The sequence below is a fragment of the Homo sapiens genome, chromosome X (assembly GCF_000001405.40).
Source record: "Homo sapiens chromosome X, GRCh38.p14 Primary Assembly".
NCBI classification, from domain to species: Eukaryota; Metazoa; Chordata; class Mammalia; order Primates; family Hominidae; genus Homo; species Homo sapiens.
Genome location: NC_000023.11, coordinates 30,781,423 through 30,801,311, shown reverse-complemented (window position 1 = coordinate 30,801,311; position 19,889 = coordinate 30,781,423). Strand labels below are relative to the sequence as shown.

General features: G+C 48.4%; 1 annotated feature.

The window, feature by feature from the left end:
- Positions 5,575-6,134: an enhancer, noted in NCBI's record as "H3K27ac-H3K4me1 hESC enhancer chrX:30813295-30813854 (GRCh37/hg19 assembly coordinates)". NCBI's record gives its function as "activates a minimal SCP1, AML or CMV promoter by ChIP-STARR-seq in naive H9 embryonic stem cells {active_cell/tissue: H9 hESC(naive)}" and the evidence as "EXISTENCE:reporter gene assay evidence [ECO:0000049][PMID:30033119]".

The following is a 19,889-nucleotide window of genomic DNA, read 5'->3' as shown; positions in this document are numbered from 1 at the left end:
AAGCAAGGCAAGGCACAAGACAAGGCAAGGCAAACACAAAAGGCAAGGCAAGGCACAAACAAGGCAAGGAAAGGAAAGGTAAGGCACAAGGCAAGGCAAAGCAAGGCAAGGCAAGGCACAAGGCAAAGCAAGACAAGGCACAAGGCAAGGCAAGGTAAGACCAAGGCAAGGCAAGGCACAAGGCAAGGCAAGGCAAAAGGCAAGTCCAGGCAAGGCACAAGGCAAGGTAAGACAAGACAAAAGGCAAGGCAAGGCAAGGCAAAGCACAAAATAAGGCAATGAAAGGCAAGGCAAAAGGCAAGGCAAAAGGCAAAGCAAGGCAAAGCAAGGCAATGCCCAAGCAAGGCAATGCAAGGCAAGGCAAGGAACGAGGCAAGGCAAGGAACAAGGCAGGGCAAGATGAGGCATGGCAAGGCACAAGGCAAGACACTAGAAAAGGGAAGGCAAGGTTAGGCACAAAGCAAGGTAAGGCATAAGCAAGGCAAGGCACAAGGCAAGGCAAAACACAAGGCAAGGCAGAAGGCAAGGCAAGAATGGGCACAAAGAAAGGCAAGGCAAGGCACAAGGCAAGGCAATGCAAAGCAAAGGCAAGGCAATGCAAAGCAAAGGCAAGACAAGTCATGGCAAGGCACAAGGCAAGTCATGGCAAGGCACAAGGCAAGGTACGGCAAGGCATGGCAATGAAAAACAAGGTAAAAGTCAAGGCACAAAGAAAGTCTAGGGAAGGCTCAAGGCATGGCAATGAAAAACAAGGTACAAGTCAAGGCACAAAGAAAGTCTAGGGAAGGCACAAGGCAAGGAAAGGCAAGGCAACACTCAAGGCAAGACAAGGCAGAAGGCATTGCAAGGAAGGCAAAAGGCAAGGTAAGGCAAGGCAGAAGACAAGGCACAAGGCAAAACAAGGCACAAGGCATGGCAAGGCAAGGTGCAAGGCAAGGGAAGACACAAGGCAAGGCAAGGGAAGACACAAGGCAAGGAAAGGCACAAGGCAAGGCAGGTCTAGACATAAGGCATGGCAAGGCACAGCAAGGCACAATGCAAGACAAGGCAAGGCAAGTCACAGGGCAAGAAAAGGCTAGGCATAAGGCAAGGCAAGGCAAGTCAATTCAAGGCATAAGGCAAGAGAAAGCAAGGCAAGAAAGGCAAGACACTAAAAAGGCATGGCCATCCTGGCTAACACGGTGAAACCCCATCTCTACTAAAAAATGCAAAAAAATTAGCTGGGCGTGGTGGCGGGCACCTGTAGTCCCAGCTACTTGGGAGGCTGAGGCAGGAGAATGGTATGAACCCGGCAGGCGGAGCTTAAAGAGAGCCAAGATCACGCCACTGCACTCCAGCCTGGGCGAAAGAGCGAGACTCTGCCTCAAAAAAAAAAAAAAAAAAAGGCACAGCAAGACAAGGCACAAGGTAAGGCACAAGGCAAGTCAAGGTAAGACAAGGCATTGCAAGGAATGGCAAGGTGCAAGGCATGGCAAGGCAAGGGAAAGCAAGGCAAAGGGCAAGGCCAAGCACAGAACATGGCAAGGCAAAGCAAGGCAAGTCAAGGCAGGGCACAAGGAAAGTCAGGCCAAGGCAAGGCACAAGGCAAAACAAGGCACAAAGCAAGGCAAAACAAGGCACAAAGCAAGGCAAAACAAGGCACAAGGCAAGGCAAGACAAAGCCAGGCAAAGCAAAACAAGGCAAGTCAAGGCAAGACACCAGGGAAGGCAAGACACAAGGGAAGGCAAGGCACAAAGCCAGGCAAACAAGGCACCAGACACAAGGCAAGGAAATGCAAGGCAAGGCGAGGCAGGGCAAGGTAAGGGGAGGCAGGGCAAGGCAAGGCAAGGCAACGCAAAAGGCAAGGCAAGGCAAAAGGCAAGGCAAAGCCAATGCAAAGCAATATACAAAGCAAGGAAAAACAAGGCAAGGCACAAGGCAAGGCAAGTCAAGGCAAGAGAGAAAGCAAGGCAAGGCAAGAAACAAGACAAGGCAAGGCAGGAGGCAATGCAAGGCAAGAAAAGGTACAAGGCAAGGCAAGGCACAAAGGAAGGCATCACAATTCAGAAGGCAAGGCAAGGCAAGGCACAAAGGAAGGCATCACAATTCAGAAGGCAAGGCAAGGCAAAGCACTATAAGACAAGGCAAAGCACAAGCCAAGGCCAGGAAAGGCAACGCATAGCACAAGGCAAGGGAAGGGACAAGGCAAGGGAAGGGACAAGGCAAGGCAAGGCTCAAGACAAGGCAAGGCAAGGCAAGGTAAGGCACAAAGCAAGGTAAGGCAAAGAACAAGGCAAGGCAAGGCACAAGGCATTACAATTCAGAAGGCAAGTCAAGACAAGGAACAAGCCAAGGCAAGGCAAGGCAAGGACAAGCCGAGGCAAGGCAAGGCAAGGAACACGGTAAGGCATAAGGTAAGGCACAAGGCAAGGCAAAGTGAGGCTCTATGCAAGGCAACATAAGGAGCAAGGCAAGGCTAGGCAAGGCAAGGCACAAGGCAAGGCAAGGCTAGGCACAAAGGAAGGCAAGGCAAGGCAAGGCAAGGCAAAGCACAGACAAGGCAAGGCAAGGCACAAGGCAAGGTAAGTCAAGACAAGGCAGAAAGCAAGGCATACCAAGGCAAGGCCCAAATCAAGGCAAGCCAAAGCAAGGCAAAAGGCACAGCAAGGTAAGGCACAGAACAAGACAAGGAACAAGGCAAGGCAAGGCACAAGAAAGGCAAGGCAAGGCAACGCACAAGCAAGGCAAGGCAATGCACAAGCAAGGCAAGGCAAGGCAAGGCAAGGCAAAGCACAAGGCAAAACAAGGCAAGACACAAGGCAAAGCAAGGCAAGGCAAGGCACAAGGCAAACCAAGACAGAAAACAAGGCAAGGCATAAGGCAAGGCAAGGCACAAGCCAAGGCAAAGAACAAGGCAAGGCAAATGAAGGCACAGGGCAAGGCAAGGAAAAGCAGAAGGCAAGGCACAAGGCAAGGCAATGCAAAGCGTAAGGCAAGGCGAGACAAGGCAAGGCAAAGCCAAGCCAGGCAAGGCAAGGCCAAGCAAGGCTAGGCACAAGGAAAGGCAAGGCAAGCAAAAGACAAGTGAGGGGAAAGCAAGGCACAAGGCAAGTTAAGGCACCAGGCAACGGAAGGCAAGGCAAGGCAAGCCAAGCGAAGGCAAAAGGCAAGGCAAGGCACAAGGCAAGGCAAGGCAAGGCAAGGTGCAAGTCTAGTCAAGTCAAGGCACAAGGGAATGGCAAGGCAAAGCAAAAAGCAAGGCAAGGCAAGGCACAAGTCAAGGCAAGGCAGAAAGTGAGGCACAGCAAGGCAAGGCACAAGGCAAGGCAGAAGGAAAGGCGAGGCACAAAGCAAGGTAAGGCACAAGGCAAAGCAAGGCAGGAAGCAAGGTAAGGCACAAGAAAAGGCAAGGCACAAAGCAAGGTAAAGCACAAGGCAAAGCAAGACAGGAAGCAAGGCAAGGCATAATGCAAGGCAATGCAAGGCGCAAGGCAAGACAAGGCAAGACACAAGTCAAGTCAAGGCAAGGCAAAAGGCTAGGCAAAGCCAGGCAAGGCAAGGCTAGGCAAAAGGAAAGACAAGGCAAGCAAAAGACAAATGAAGGGAAGGGAAGGCAAGGCACAAAGCAAGTTAAGGCACCAGGCAACACAAGGCAGGCAAGGCACAAAGCAAGGCAAGTGAAGGCAAAAGGCAAGGCAAGGTGCAAGTCAAGGCAAAGCACAAGGGAATGGCAAGGCAAAGCAAAAAGCAAGGCAAGGCAAGGCACAAGGCAAGGCAAGTCAAGGCAATGCAGAAAGCGAGGCACAGCAAGGCAAGGCACAAAGCAAAGTAAGGCACAAGACAAAGCAAGGCAGGAAGCAAGGCAAGGCAAGGCACAAGGCAAGGCAAGGCAAGGCAATGCAAAGTGCAAGGCAAGGCAAGGCAAGGCACAAGGCAAGGCAAGGCAAGGCAATGCAAAGTGCAAGGCAAAGCAAGGCAAGGCAAGTCAAGGGAAGGCAGGACAAGGCATGGCAAGACACAAGGCACAAGGCAAGGCAAGACAAGGCACAAGGCAAGGCACAAGCAAGGCAAGGCAAGGCAAGGCACAAGGCAAAACAAGGCCAGGAAAGGAAAGGAGAGACAACACATAACAAGGGAAGGCACAAGGCAAGTTACAAGGCAAGGCACAAGCCAAGGCAAGGCAAGGCAAATCAAGGCACAAAACAAGGCAAAGCAAGGCAAAAGGCAAGGCAATGCAAGCCACAGGCAAGGTGCAAGGCAAGGCAAGGCAAGGCACAAGGCAAAGAAAAGCCAAGGAAAACAAGGCCAAGGCAAGGCACAAGGGAAAGCAAACCAAGGCACACGGCAAGGCAAGGCACAAGGGAAGGCAAGGCACAAGCCAAGGGAAGTCAAGTAACAAGGTAAGGAAAATCAACGTGCAAGTCAAGGCAAGGCAAGGCAAGGCAAGGCACAAAGCAAAGTACAAGGCAAGGCAAAGCAATGCAAGACAAGGCAGAAGGGAAGGCAAGGCACAAGGCATGACAAGGCAAAGCAAAGCAAGGCGCAAGGCAAGGCGCAAGGCAAGGCAGAAGGCAAGCCAAGGCACAAAGCAAGGCAAAAGGCAAGGCAAAGCACAAAGCAAGGCAAGGGAAGGCACAAGGTAAGGCAAGGCAGGCACAAAGCAACACAAGGCAGGGCACAAAGCAACACAAGGCAAGGCAAGGCAAAAGGCAAGGCACAGGGTAAGGCAAGGCAATGCAAAGCACAAGGCAAGCCAAGGCACAAGGAAAGCTACAAAGCAAGGCAAAGCAAGGCACAAGGCAAGACTAGAAAAGGCAAGACAAAGCATGGCAAGGCAAGGCAGAAGGCAAGGCAAGGCACAAGCAAAGGTAACGCAAGGCACATGGCAAGGCAAGGCAAGGGAAAGCACATGGCAAGGCACAAGGCAAGGCAAGACAAGGCAAGCCACAAGGCAAGGCAAAGCCAGGCAAGGCAAGGCCAAGGCAAGGCAAGGCACAAGGCAACGCAAGCAAAAGGCAAGTGAAGGGAAGGCAAGGCACAAGTCAAGTCAAGGCACCAGGCAAAGCAAAGCACAAAGCAAGGCAAGTGAAGGCAAAAGGCAAGGCAAGGGACAAGGGACAAGGCAAGTCCAGGCAAGCTGCAAGGAAATGGCAAGGCAAAGCAAAAATCAAGGCAAGGCAAGGCAAGACCCAAGTCAAGGCAAGCCAAAGCAAGGCACGAGGCAAGGCAAGGCAAGGCAAGGCACAAGGCAAGGCAAGGCAAGGCAAGGCACAATGCAAGGCAAGGCAAGGCAAAAGGCAAAGCAAGGCAAGGCATGGCAAGACAAGGAATAAGGCAAGGCAAGGCATAAGGCAAGGCAAGTTACAAGGCAAGCCAAGGGAAGGCACAAGGCAAGGCAAGGGAAGGGAAGGCACAAGGTAAGGCACAAGGCAAGGCAATGCAAGATACAAGGCAAGGCAAGACAAGGCAAGACAAGATAAGGCACAAGGTAAGGGAGACCAAGGCACAAGCAAGGCACAAGGCAAGGCAAGACAAGCCACAAGCCAAGGGAAGGCAAGTAACAAGGCAAGGCAAATCAACGCACAAGTCAAGGCAAGGCAAGGCACAAGGCAAGGCAAAGCAAGGCAAGGCAAGGCACAAGGCATGGCAAGGAAAAGCAAGGAAAAGCAAAAAAAGGCAGAAGGCAAGGCAAGGCAAGGCAAGGCAGAAAGCAAGGCAAGACACGGCACAAGGCAAGGCATGGCACAAGGCAAGGCAAGGCACAAGGCAAGGCAAGGCACAAAGCAAAGCAAGGCAAGGCAAGGCACAAAGCAAGGCAAGGCAAGGCACAAGGCAAAGCAAGGCAAGGCACAAGGCAAAGCAAGGCAATGCAAAGTGCAGGGTAAAGCAAGGCAAGGCAAGCCAAGGCACAAGGCAACGCAAGGCACAAGGCAAGTAAAGGCATCAGGCAAGACAAGGCACAAAGCAAGGCACCAGGCAAGGCAAGGCAAGGCACAAGGCAAGCAAGGCAAGGCGCAAGGCAAGGCAAGGCAAGGCAAGGCTCAAGGCAAGGCAAGTCAAAGCAAAAGGGAAGGCAAGGCAAGGCACAAGGCAAGCCAAAGCCAGGCAAGGCAAGGACAAGGCAAGGCAAACAAAAGGCAAGCCAAGGGAACTCAAGACACAAGGCAAGTCAAGGCACCAAGCAAGGCAAGGCAACGCAAGGCACAAAGCAAGGCAAGTGAAGGCAAAAGGCAAGGCACGGAGCAAGGGAATGGCAAGGCAAAGCAAAGAGCAAGGCAAGGCAAGGCACAAGGCAAGGCACGTCAAAACAAAGCAAAGAGCAAGACACAGAAAGGCAGAGCCCAAGGCAAGGCAAGCCAAATGAGGCACAAGGTAAGGCAAGGTAAGGCACAGAAGAAGTCAAGACAAGGCACAAGGCAAGGCAAGGCAAGTCAAGGCACAAGGCAATTCAAGGCACAAGCAAGGCAAGGCAAAGCACAAAACAAGGCAAGGCACAAGGCAAGGAAACACAAGGAAAGACAAGGAATGGCAAGGCAAGGCATGGCAAGGCAAGGCAAGTTACAAGGCAAGGCAAGGCAAAAGGCAAGGCAATGCAAGGCGTAAGGCAAGGCAATGCAAGGCACAAGGCAAGGCAAACCAAGGCAAAGCAAAGGCAAGGCAAGGCAAGGCACAAGGCAAGGCAAAGCCAGGCAAAGCAAGGCCAAATCAAGGCAAGGCACAAGGCAAGGCAAGGCAAGGCACAGGCAAGGCAAGGCGCAAACAAGGCAAGGTAAGGCACAAGCCAAGGGAAGGCAAGTAACAAGGCAAGGCAAAAAAATCAACACACAGGGCAAGGCAAGGTAAGTCACAAGGCAAGGCAATGCAAGGCATAAGCCAAGGATAAGCAATACAAGGCAAGGCAATGCAAGGCATAAGCCAAGGATAAGCAATACAAGGCAAGGCACAAGACAAGACAAGGCAAGGCAGAAAGCATGGCAAGGCAAAGTAAGGCAAGGTATAAGGCAAGGCAAGGCAAGTTACAAGGCAAGGCAAAGCAAGGCAAGGCACAAGGGATGGCAAGGCAAGGCACAACACAAGGCAAATCAAGGCACAAGGCAAAGCAAGGGAAAGCACAAGGCAAGGTACAAGGCAAGGCACGACAAGTCAAGGCACAAATCAAGGCAAAGCCAGACAAGGCAAGGCCAAAGCAAGGCAAGGCACAAGGCAAAACAAGGCACAAGGCAAGGCACAAGGCAAAACAAGGCACAAGGCAAGGCACAAGGCAAAACAAGGCACAAGGCAAGGCACAGCTAGGCAAGACAAGGCCAAGGCAAGACAACGCAAGGTAAAACACAAGGCAAGGCAAGGCACAAGCAAGGCAAGACAAGGTGCAAGGCACAAGGCAGAAGGCAAGGCAAAAGGCAAGGCACAAGGCAAGGCAAAGCCAAGCAAGGCAAGGCCAAGGCCAGGCACAAGGCAAGGCAAGGCAAGCAAAAGGCAAGCAAAGGGAAGGCAAGGCACAAGGCAAGTCAAGAGACCAGGCAAGGCAAGGCAATGCAATGCACAAAGCAAAACAAGTGAAGGCAAAAGGCAAGGCAAGGCAAGGCAAGGTGCAAGGCAAGTCAAGGCAAAGCACAAGGGAATGGCAAGGCAAAGCAAAAAGCAAGCCTAGGCTAGGCTAGGCAGAAAGTAAGGCACAGCAAGGCAAGGTCCAAGTCAAGGCAAGCCAAAGCAAGGCACGAGGTGAGGCAAGGCAAGGTAAAGCATGGAACAAGGCAAGAAAAAACACAAGGCAAGGCAAGGCAAGGCAAGGCAAGGCACAAGGCAAGGCAAATCAAGACACAAGGCAAGGTAAGGCAAGGCACAAGGCAAGGCACAAGCCAAGGGAAGACAAGTAACAAGGCAAGGCAAATTGACACACAAGTCAAGGAAAGGCAAGCAAAATGCAAGGCAATGCTAGGCACAAGGCAAGGCAAAGCAATGCAAGGCAAGGCACAAGGCAAAGCAAGGCAAGGCAGAGCAAGGCAAGGCACCAGGCAAGGAGAGGCACAAAGCAAGGCAAGTGAAGGCAAAAGGCAAGGCATAAGGCAAGTCAAGGCAAGGCACAAAGGAATGGCAAGGCAAAGCAAAAAGCAAGGCAAGGCAAGTCAAGTCAAGGCAAGGCAGAAAGCAAGGCACAACAAGGCAAGGCCCTAGTCATGGCAAGCCAAAGCAAGGCAGGAGGCAAGGCAAGGTAACGCACAGAACAATGCAAGGCACAAGGCAAGAGAGGACGCAAGGCAAGGCAAGGCACAAGGCAAGGCCCTAGTCATGGCAAGCCAAAGCAAGGCAGGAGGCAAGGCAAGGTAAGGCACAGAAAAACGCAAGGCACAAGGAAAGGGAGGGCACAAGGCAAGGCACAAGGCAAGGCAAGGCATAAGCAAGGCATGGCATAAGCAAGACAAGGCAAGGCACAAGGCAAGGCAAGTACAAGGCAAAGCAAGGCAAGGCACAAGCCAAGGCAAGGCAAATCAAGGCACAAGGCAAGGCAAGGCAAGGGAAGGCACAAGGCAAGGCAAGGCAAGCAAAAGGCAAGCGATGGGAAGGCAAGGCACAAGGCAAGTCAAGGCACCAGGCAAGGCAAGGCACAAAGCTAGGCAAGTCAAGGCAATAGGCAAGGCAAGGCCCTAGTCAAGGCAAGGCAAAGCAAGGCAAGCGGCAAGGCAAGGTAAGGCACAGAACAACACAAGGCACAAGGCACAAGGCAAGGCAAGTCAAGGCACAAGGCAAGGCAAGTCAAGGCACAAGGCAAGGCAAGTCAAGGCACAAGGCAAGGCAAGGCAAGGCAAGGCGCAAGGGAAGGCAAGCCAAGGCACAAGGCAAGGCATGGAAAGTCAAGCCATGGCAAGGCAAGGCACAACGCAAGGCAATTTATAAGGCAAGGCACGGCACAAGCCAAGACAAGACAGGGCACAAGCCAAGGCAAATCGAGGCACAAGGCAAGGCAAGGGAAGGCACAAGGCAAGGCAATGCAAGGCAAGGCAAACCAAGGCACAAGCAAGTCACAAGGGAGGCAAAGCAAGGCAAGGCACAAGGCAAGGCAAGGCACAAGCCAAGGGAAGGCAAGGCAAATCAACGCACAAGTCAACGCAAGGCAAGGAGAAAGGCAATGCAAGGCACAAGGCAAGGCACAAGACAAGGCAAGGCACACGCAAGGCAACACAAGGCACAAGCAAGGCAACACAAGGCACAAGGCAAGGCGAAAGGTAAGGCAATGCAAAGCGCAAGGCAAGGTAAGGCAAGGCAAGCCAAGGCGCAAGGCAAGGTGCAAGGTAAGGCAAGGCAAGCCAAGGCACAAGGCAAGGTGCAAGGCAAGGCAAGGCAAAGCAAGACCAGGCAAGGCCAAGGAAAGGCAAGGCACAAGGCAAGGCAAGCAAAAGGCAAGCAAAGGGAAGGCAAGGCACAAGGCAAGTCAAGGCACCGGGCAATGCAAGACAAAGCAAGGAACAAAGCAAGGCAAGTAAAGGCAAAAGGCAAGGCAAGGCACAGGAGAATGGCAAGGCAAAGCAAAATGCAAGGCAAGGCAAGTCAAGGCAAGTCAGAAAGCAAGGCACAGCCAGGCAAGTCCCAAGACAAGGCAAGCCAAAGCAAGGCACAAGGCAAGGTAAGATAAGGCACAGAACAAGGCAAGGAACAAAGCAAGGCAAGGGACAAGGCAAGGCAAGGCACAAGGCAAGACAAGGCATGGCAAGGCAAGGCAATTTACAAGGCAAGGCTGTTTACAAGGCTAGGCAAGGCAGGGCAAGGCACAAGCCAAGCCAAGGCAAGGCACAAAGCAAGGCAAGGGAAGGCATAGGGCAAGCCACAAGGCCAGGCAGTGCAAGGCGCAAGGCAAGGGAAGACAAGGCAAGGCACAAGGCAAGGCAAACCAAGGCACAAGGCAAGGCACAAGGCACAAAGCAAGGCAAGGCACAAGGCAAGAAACAAGCCAAAGGAAGGCAAGTAATAAGACAAAGCAAATCAATGCACAAGTCAAGGCAAGGCAAGGCACAATGCAAGTCAATGCAAGGCACAAGGCAAGGGAAAGCAATGCAAGGCAAGCCACAAGGCAAGGCAAGGCACAAGGCGAGGTAAGGCAAGGCACAAGGCAAGGGAAAGCAATGCAAGGCAAGGCACAAGCAAGGCAAGGCACAAGGCAAGGCAAGGCACAAGGCAAGGCAAGGCACAAGGCAAGGTAAGGCAAGGCACAAGGCAAGGCAAGGGACAAAGCAAGACAAGGCAATGCAAACACAAGGCAAGCCAAGGCACAAGGCAAGGCAAGACAAGGCACAAATCAAGGCAAGGCAAGGAACAAGGCAAGGAAAATCAAGGCACAAGGAAAGGCACAAGGCAAGGCAAGGCAAGGCACAAGGCAAGGCAAGGCAAGGCACAGGGCAAGGCAAGGCACAAAGCAAGGCAAGGCACAAGGCAAAGCGAAGGGAAGGCAAGGCACAAGGCAAGTGAAGGGAAGGCAAGGCACAAGGCAAGCAAAGGGAAGGCAAGGCACAAGGCAAGTCAAGGCACCAGGCAAAGCAAGGCAAGGCAAGGCACAAAGCAAGGGAAGTGAAGGCAAAAGGCAAGGCAAGGCAAGGTGCAAGGCAAGTCAAGGCAAGGCACAAGGGAATAGTGAGGCAAAGCAAAAAGTAAAGCAAGGCAAGGCAAGGCAAGGCACAAGGCAAGGCAAGTCAAAGCAAAGCAGAAAGCAAGGCACAACAAGGCAAGGCCCTAGTCAAGGCAAACCAAACAAGGCACAACGCAAGGCAAAGCAAGGCACAAGGCAAGGCAAGGCACAAGCAAGGCAAGGCAAGGCACAAGGCAAGGAAAGACAAGGCATGGCAAGGCAACGCACAAGGGAAGGCAAGTTACAAGGCAAGGCAATTTACAAGGAAAGGCAATTTATAAGGCAAGGCAATTTACAAGGCAAGGGAAGGCAATTTAGGAGGCGAGGAGAGGCAAGGCAAGGCAAGGCAATTTGCAAGGCAAGGCACTAGCCAAGGCAAGGCAAGGCAAATCAAGGCACAAGGCAACACAATGCAAGGCACAAGGCAAGGCAAATCAAGGCACAAGCAAGGCACAAGCCAAGGGAAGGCAAGTAACAAGGCAAGGCAAATCAATGCACAAGTCAAGTCAAGGCAAGCCAATGCAATGCAAGGCAAGGCACAAGACAAGGCAAGGCAAAGAAATGCAAGGCAGAAGGCAAGGCAAGGCACAAGGCAAGGCAAGGCAGAAGGCAAGGCATGGCACAAAGGCAAGGCAAGGCACAAGGCAAGGCACAAGGTAAGGCAAAGCAATGTAAAATGCAAGGCAAGGAAAGCCAAGGCACAAGGCAAGGCAAGGGAAAGCAAGACAAGGCATCGCAAAGCAAGGTATAAGGCAAGTTGCAAGTGAAGGCAAGGCACAAAGCAAGGCAAGGCAAGTCACAAGTCAAGGCAAGGCATCGCAAGGCAAGGTATAAGGCAAGTTACAAGCGAAGGCAAGGCACACGGCAAGGCAAGGCGAGTCACAAGTCAAGGCAAGGCAAGGGAAAGCGAGGCAAAGGAAGGCCAAGGCATGGCACAAGGCAAGGCAAGGCAAGCAAAAGGCAAGCAAAGAGAAAGCAAGGCACAAGGCAAGTCAAGGGACCAGCAAGGCAAGGCAAGGCACAAAGCATGGCAAATGAAGGCAAAAGGCAAGGCAAGGTGCAAAGCAAGTCAAGGCAAGGCACAAGGGAATGGCAAGGCAAAGCAAAAAGCAAGGCAAGGCAAGGCAGAAAGTGAGGCACAGCAAGGCAAGGCCCAAGTCAAGGCAAGCCAAAGCAAGGCATAAGGCAAGGCAAGGTAAGGCACAGAACAAGGCAAGGAACAAGGCAAGGCAAGGCATAAGGCAAGTTAAGGCACAAGCAAGCCAAGGCAACGTAAGGCACAAGGCAAGGTAAGGAAAGGTAAGAAAAGGCAAGGCAAGACATGGTATGGCAAGGCAAGGCATAAGGCAAGGCAAGTTACAAGGCAAGACACAAGCCAAGACAAAGCAAGGCACAAGACAAGGCAAGGGAAGGCACAAGCAAGGCACAATGCAAGGCAAAGCAATGCAAGGCACAAGGCAAGGCACAACCCAAGGGATGTCAAGTAACAAGGCAAGGCAAATCAACACACAAGTCAAGGCAAGGGAAGGCACAAGGCAAGGCAACGCAAGTCACAAGGCAAAGCAAGGCACAAAGCATGACAAGGCAAAGCAAGGCAAGGCACAAGGCATGGCAAGGCAAGGCAAGGCAAGGCAAGGCACAAGGCACAAAGCAAGGCAAGGCACAAGACAAGGCTAGGCACAGAGCAAGGCAAGGCAAGGCACAAGGCAAGACAATGTAAAGCACAAGTCAAGGCGAGACAAGGCAAGGCAAAGCAAGGCAAGGCAAAGCACAAAGCAAGGCAAAACACAAGGCAAGGCGCAAGGCAAGGCAAGGCACGAGGCATGGCAAGGCACGAGGCATGGCAAGGCACGAGGCATGGGCAAAGCAAGGCAAGGCACAAGGCAAGGCAAGGCATAAGGCAAGGCACCAAGCAACACAAGCCAAGGCACAAGGCAAAACAAGGCAAGGCAAGGCAAGGCACAAGGCGTGGCAAGGCAAAGTAAGGCAAGGCCAGGCACAAGGCAAAAATAAGGCAAGGCGCAAGACAAGGCACAAAGTAAGGCAAGGCGCAAGGCACAAGGCAAGGCAGCACAAGGCAAGGCACAAGTCAAGGCAAGGCAAGGCAAAAGGCAAGGCAAGGCACAATGCAAGGCATGGCAAGGCAAGGGAAGGAAAGGCTTGTCAAGGCTAGGTGAGGCACAAGGCAAGGCCCAGCAAGGCATAAGGCAAGGCATGGTGTAGTAAAAATATGATACTGTAATCTCATGGGACCACCATTGTATATGCATTCCATCATTGATCAAAATGTCATTATGCAATACATGAGTAATTAAAATAATGCCACAATTAAATATGCTGTGGTATCTTGAACTGGATCCTAGAACAGAAAAAGAACTTTAGTGGAAAAACTGGTGTAATCCAAACAAAGTCTCTAATCTCATAAATATACCAATAGTCATGGCTTAGTTTTGAGAAATTGTCATGGTATATATAAAGATATTACTATTAAGGGAAGTTGAGTGAAAGATATATGGGAACTCTCTGTAAACTTTTGTGTAAATCTAGAATTTTTCCAAAATAAAAAGTTAAAAAAACGGTAAGCCCCACTAGCCTTTGCTGGAGAAGTTCATTGATGTTTACCATTTACATGACTTTATTAGGCAGAATTGGACTCACTAACCAGTTCACATCTAAAAACATTACTCTATGACATTTATATTAATACATTTTGAATAACTGTGCTCACAGGAGTTAAGGAGAGGTGAGGGTGGGAGGAAAATTGGTATGGTTATAAAAGGGCAACATGAAGGATCCTTGACGTGATGGAAATGTTCTAAAGCTTGACTGTAGCAATATGATACAATTATCATATTGATATGGACAGGAGACAGGGAAACACTAGATAGAAGAGGGTGGTTCCCTAGCAAAGGCCCCACCCTCAAGCCTGGATATCCGAGGCCCTAAGTGAGAACAGGCATTCCTGTTTTTGTCCCAAAATGTTGCCTTTTTGCCTGTCATGCCTCCTATGCTGTACCCATATAAACCCCAAACCCCAGGCTCCAGAAGAGACCAGGAGATGAGACAAGCAGATGAACGGTGGAATGACATGGCAGAGAAAGAAGAAGAGGAGGAACATTTGAACACTGAGAGGAGTTTGGCTGGGGGTGGTCAGAGACGATTTCGGCCACTGGATGGCCCAACTGCAGGGGAAGATCATCTTCTCACTCCATCCCCCCATTTCAGCTCCCATCCATCCCACTGAGAGCCACCTCCACCACTCAATAAAACCTCACATTCATCCTTCAATACTGTGTGTGACCCGATTCTTCTGGGATGCTGGGCAAGAGCTCGGGGTACAGGAAGCTGTCACACTGGCCCTCTGCCCTTGAGAAAAGGCAGACGGTCCATCGAGCTGGTTAACACTTAAAAGCTGTCTGCAGATGGCAAGGCTAAGAGAGCATTGTAACACTGGGCTTGCAGGCACCTACCCCTAGACACAACCACGGGGCTGGAGCCCAAAGCGCTCACCCTGTCCTCTGCACCTGCCCGTCTGCATGCTCTCCTCTCCTGCAAGGGGTTTGAGGAGCAGCGACAGCTACCAAACAGGCGAGCCACACCCCTGTTGCATGTCCTGCAAGGGGGATCAGGGAACTCTCCTGTTTCATCATTGTACTATAATTTTGCAAGATGGTTTCATTGGGAAGAAACAAGGTAAAGGCTATACAGGATCTATCATTCCTTACAACTATAATTGTCTCAAAAAATTTAGTTAAAAAGAGTAAAGATAAAAAGCTTAAAAAACGGGAAAAATAGTTGCTGGGCTCAAAGGAAATATTGATAACGCAAGAGATGTAAGATTTGATATCTCTGAATCATTAATATTGATTGTATTGGCCAAACTGAACTTGTGAAGAGAAGAAATTCTCAAGTATTTTTCAGAATAATCAGGAAGACTTTCAGTTTATAGTTTATACTAGGTCATGGAACCAAAAGATTCATCATCCAAATGCTACACAAAAACATAGTAGGAAAATTGTCCTACCTCCCCTGTTCCTCCTCTGTCTAGGTCTCCCCACTGACACCCTCATGATCAGCTTTGGAAGGAACACTAGATTTCAAAGGCACTGAAATAAAGTAATGTGAATCATCTGTGAATCAGATCTACAGTCTTTGATGAATAGATTGATGCATGCCTGTTCTTGGGATTACTACTGTTTTATGTAAGTGATTCACTCTTACAATGGCACCACTTTTCTCACTCCCAGGATCCCATGCTTTCCATTATCTTCTGTAACTGTTTCTCCACCAGCTCCTTTTTCCTCAAGTATGCTCAAAATTTTCCTGTCCTTAAATCCCTCGATCTCTTCACAAATAGCTTATTTTTTCCAAAGGAAAAAAAACTGTAACTTCATATTGGAGAAACCCAGCAAACATCAACTTTAACAAGTAATCAAAGTTAACATCACCAGTAATGTGACCAACTAACAGCCCCTGGCTCCTGATAGGACGCCCTGAGTCGGAAACAACATCACTTGCAATATTCTTATCAAAAATGCACAACTGAATTGAATCATATTAGAAAAACCCAAAATCAATGGACTTTCTATAAACAATGGCCAAAAATGTTAGTGTTATGAAAGACAAAGAAACGCAGAACTCTTCTGTCTTAGAGACATGGCAACTAAACGTAATGTGTGAAATTCTGAATTTGCTTCTACACCAGGAAGATTTCCTAAAAAAAAATTATGAAAATAAAATCTGAATATGGACGGACCATGAGTTAGATAATAGTATATCAAATAATTTTTGTGATCTTGAAAATTGTACTGTCTTGGCTGGGCATGGTGGCTCACACCTGTAGTCCCACACTTTGGGAGGCTGAGGTGGGCAGACCGCTTGAGCCCGGGCAACATGGCGAAACTCCATCTCTACAAAAAATGCAAAAAATGAGTCGGGCATGGTGGCATGCACCTATAGTCCCAGCTACTCGGAAGGCTGAGGTGGGAGAATCACTTGATCCCAGGAGGTGGAGGCTGCAGTGAGCTGTGATCACACCACCTGTACTTTAGTCCCATGACAGAGAGAGACCCTGTCTCAAAAAAAGAAAAGAAAATTCTACTGTCTTACATAAGAGAATGTCTGATTCTTAGCAAATATATACTTTAAGCATTTAAGGGTAAAGTCTTTAATGCTAGGTCATGGATGTCTTTAATGAACTTTCAAATTTTTAGAAAAACATGTACACATACGTGTGTGTGTGTGTGTGTGTGTGTGTATAAAACAAATGAAGCAAAAATGATCTTGGAAGTTTGAAATTGTATCTATACAAAAATTCTTCCCCCAAAAAAATCCTCCGGCATTTGCATTCAAAGTTGTAGAATGAGCATACATATTTATCTTCTCCCCATCAAGATCTCATTAAAATAATAAAAAAATTAAAAAGGTGCAAACCCATAACTTTGAATAGAACAGAATGGGGGCCAGTGAGGGACAAGAGATCATGTCAAATTAGGCAGCAAGAGTGGACTGATGAATGCAGATAGGAGGATTCTGGAACCTAGAACATGCATGAAAGAACTTACAGCTGAGGAGGCAGCCAATGTTACTGCAAGGTCCTGAAGAGGTCTTAGGTTCAGAGTCTGTAGGTCCTATGGAGAACAAGAGAGAGAAGTGAGATGGAAAACCACCAAATCCCTGCATTCTGTTTCAAACTCCAGCTCAAAAAACTGCTTGTGAAACCATGTGTTTAATCATTCAGCAAAACAAAAACAACAAATCAGGCTATTTCTCTAAAGAAATGGAACAAACTGAGAATATTGGCAGCTTTCTGCCAACTCACTCTGCCGGATGGTAAGCCCTGTGCCCCAGTCAGCCTTTTAAAATAACCAATAATCAAGATCACCAGACATTGAGTAAAGCCTGCAACTTAAAAGCAATTAAGAGAAACACTCAATTAACTCAAGAGAAAATAAAAATAACTCAGGGATCAGAGGTGAACTTAAGAAATCTAGGCCAGGTGTTGTGGCTCACACTTGTAATCCCAGCACTTTGGGAAGCCGAGAAGGGAGGTTTGCTTGAGCCCAGGGGTTTGAAACCAGCCTGGGCAACATGGTGAGACCCCATTTCTAAAAAAATTTAAAAATTAGCTGGGAGGGGTAGAGTGCCTGTGGTTCCAGCTACTTGGGAGGCTGAGGTGGGAGGATCACTTGAGCTCAGGAGGTCGAGGCTGCAGTGAGTCATGATCACTCCATTGCACTCTAGCCTGGGCAATAGATTGAGACCCTGTCTCAAAAGAATAAAAAACGAAAAAAAATCTAATTATTTCTTTTAAAAAATGAGGAGAAATTGCATTTAGTAAGCTAGAACATGACACCATAACAAAAATAATTGGATTATAGAAAAAAGCTCTTAGAATTTAAAAATATAACTACTAAAACAGTAAACATCTATAGAAACTTGGAAGTTGAGGAAATCTCCCAAACGTATAGCAAAACACAAGGACACGAAAAATAGGAGAAAAATGAAGAGCTATAGAGGTTCAACCCAAGAAGTTAAATCTCCAAACACTGAATTCTGGAAAGAAAATAGAGAAAAACAGAAACTTACTAAAGAGGCGACACAAGAAAATTCCTAGAGATTAAGGAACATACTAGGGTATACTATGTGATATTAAAGATAAATAGCAAAGAATACACATACCTCACAGTGAACTTAAGAAAGAAAGGACCCTAAAAGCTTCCAGTAAGAATAGACATGTTATCTAAAAAGGAATAGGCTAGGTGCAGTGGCTCATGCCTATAATCCCAGCACTTTGGGAGGCCAAGGAGGGCAGATCACTTGAGGTCAGGAGTTCTAGACCAGCCTGGCCAACATGGTGAAACCCCATGTCTACTAAAAATATAAAATTAGCCAGGCATGGTGGCGCATGCCTGTAATCCCAGCTACCTGGGAGGCTGAGGCAGGAGAATCGCTTGAACCTGGGAGGCGGAGGTTGCAGTGAGCCAGGATCGCCACCACTGCGCTCAGGACTGGGTGACAAGAGTGAAACTCCATCTCAAGAAAATAAATAGGAATAACAACCTGCCAGGTATTGGAATTCTCAACATTAATAGTGTATTTTCATCCTATGTATTAAGTAAAAGTGATTTTCAAACTGAAATTGTAACCACCCAATGTGTTCACCTTGCCCACTGCCTAGACATAGCCAATTTATTAAGACCAGTGAATTGCAATGGCGAAAGAGTTATTCATGCAGAGCCAGATGTGCAGGAGATGGGAGTTTTATTATTACTCAAATCAGTCTCCTGGAGCATTCGCGGACCAGTTTTTAAGGATAATTTGGCGGGTATGTGCTCAGGAAGTCGGGAGTGTTGATTGGTCGGGTTGGAGATGAAATAATAGAGGACTGAAGTGAGTTCTTCTTGCTGACTTCTGTTCCTGGATGGGATTGCAGGACTGGTTGAGCCAGATTATCAGTCTGGGTGCTGCATCAGAATACAAGGTCTGCAAAATATCTCAAGCACTGATCTTAGATTTTGCAACAGTAATGTTATTCCCAGGAGCAATTTGGGGAGGTTCAGACTCTTTGCAGCCCAGGAAAGAAGGGTTTTTTTCAGGATAGGGCTATTATCAATTTGGTTTCAGAGTTTAAAATATAAGCTAAATTTCTTCCCAGGTTAGAAACAAGATGGGGTCGGTTAGGTCTGATCTCTTTCACTGCCATAATTTCCTCAGTTAAGATTTTTGTGGGCCGGGCGCGGTGGCTCACACCTGTAATCCCAGCACTTTGGGAGGCCAAGGCAGGCAGATCACGAAGTCAGGAGATCGAGACCATGAGGAAACCCTGTCTCTACTAAAAATACAAAAAATTAGCTGGGCACAGTGGCGGGCGCCTGTAGTCCCAGCTACTTGGGAAGCTGAGGCAGGAGAATGGCGTGAACCCGGAAGGTGGAGCTTACAGTGAGCCGGATCACGCCACTGCACTCCAGCCTGGGTGACAGAGTGAGACTCCATCTCAAAAAAAACAAAACAAAACAAAACAAAACAAAAAAAACAGATTTTTGCAAAGGCGGTTTCAAAATTATGTAGGACATTTAAGGACATCTCAGTCAAGTATGAGGACAGAATAAAAGAGTTTTTAGACAAAGCAAGTACTCAGCAGTTTACCTTTTCTATATTCTTTTGGATAAATTTCTGGAAGATAGGCTATGGCAAAATGAGGGGGTAACCAAGGGTAAGGAGGACGAGGAAGAGGAGAAATGGTCACTTTAGGAAATAGATGGTACATTTTAGGAGAGCAATGAAAAGCAGTCTCTGAATGACAGCTGTACAGAGGCAATCAGTTCAGATTGCAACAGGTGGACAGAAAGCTCCAGAAGGGAAGTGTTCTATCTTCTTTGATACTCCAGGAAATAACACATTAATACTCAATTTGGTACTAAGCCAAGTCATAGCAATAGGAATACTACTGACGTTTAGCTTTTAGAATCAACCTGAAGACAAAGCCAGAATGACTAAATTGTGGTTAGAGTATAAATGCTATAAATCTAGTCAATGTGAAAGTACACATGACAGAAGCAGGGAGTTGGGAATGGTGACCACAGAAATAGAGAATACTTGTGTTGATGTCCCAACCTCATAACATTGAGACAAAGGACCCCAGCCATATTTGAGATAAGAAATTGAACTTTAAGTACATTATTCAAAGTTTCAAAGGCAACCAAAAATAGAACAGGGTAATGATGATATTGGGAGGAAAAGAGGAGATAGGCATAGGTGTGAATGAGTCAAATCCTCTATGAAAGCAGAAAGCCAGTCATTGATGGACATCACTGATGGACATTTGGGTTGATTCATGGCCACATGGTGGGGAACAACACACACTGGGGCCTGCAGGGGATGGGGAGTTGGGGAAGGAAGAGCATCAGAAAGAATAGCTATTGGGTACTGGGCTTAATACCTAGGTGATGGGTTGATCTGTGCAGCAAACAACCATGGCACATGTTTACCTATGTAACAAACCTGTACATCATGCACATGTACCCCAGAACTTGATGGGGAAAAAAAAGAAAGCAGAAAGCCACTAGGTATTGTAGGGCAAAGGAAAACTTCCCCTTCGCCCTCTGAAAGTTTGTTGAAAAATCAACTGACAAAAGGCAGATTAATAGGAGAAAAGGTATACAAAATTTTATTTTAATGTGTATATTATAGAAGAATCCCAGGAGAATAATTACCCAATAACCTAATGAGGTCCAGAAGCTTATATATCCTTTCTCATGGGGGAGAGGCATCATGGGGAAGGCAGACAAT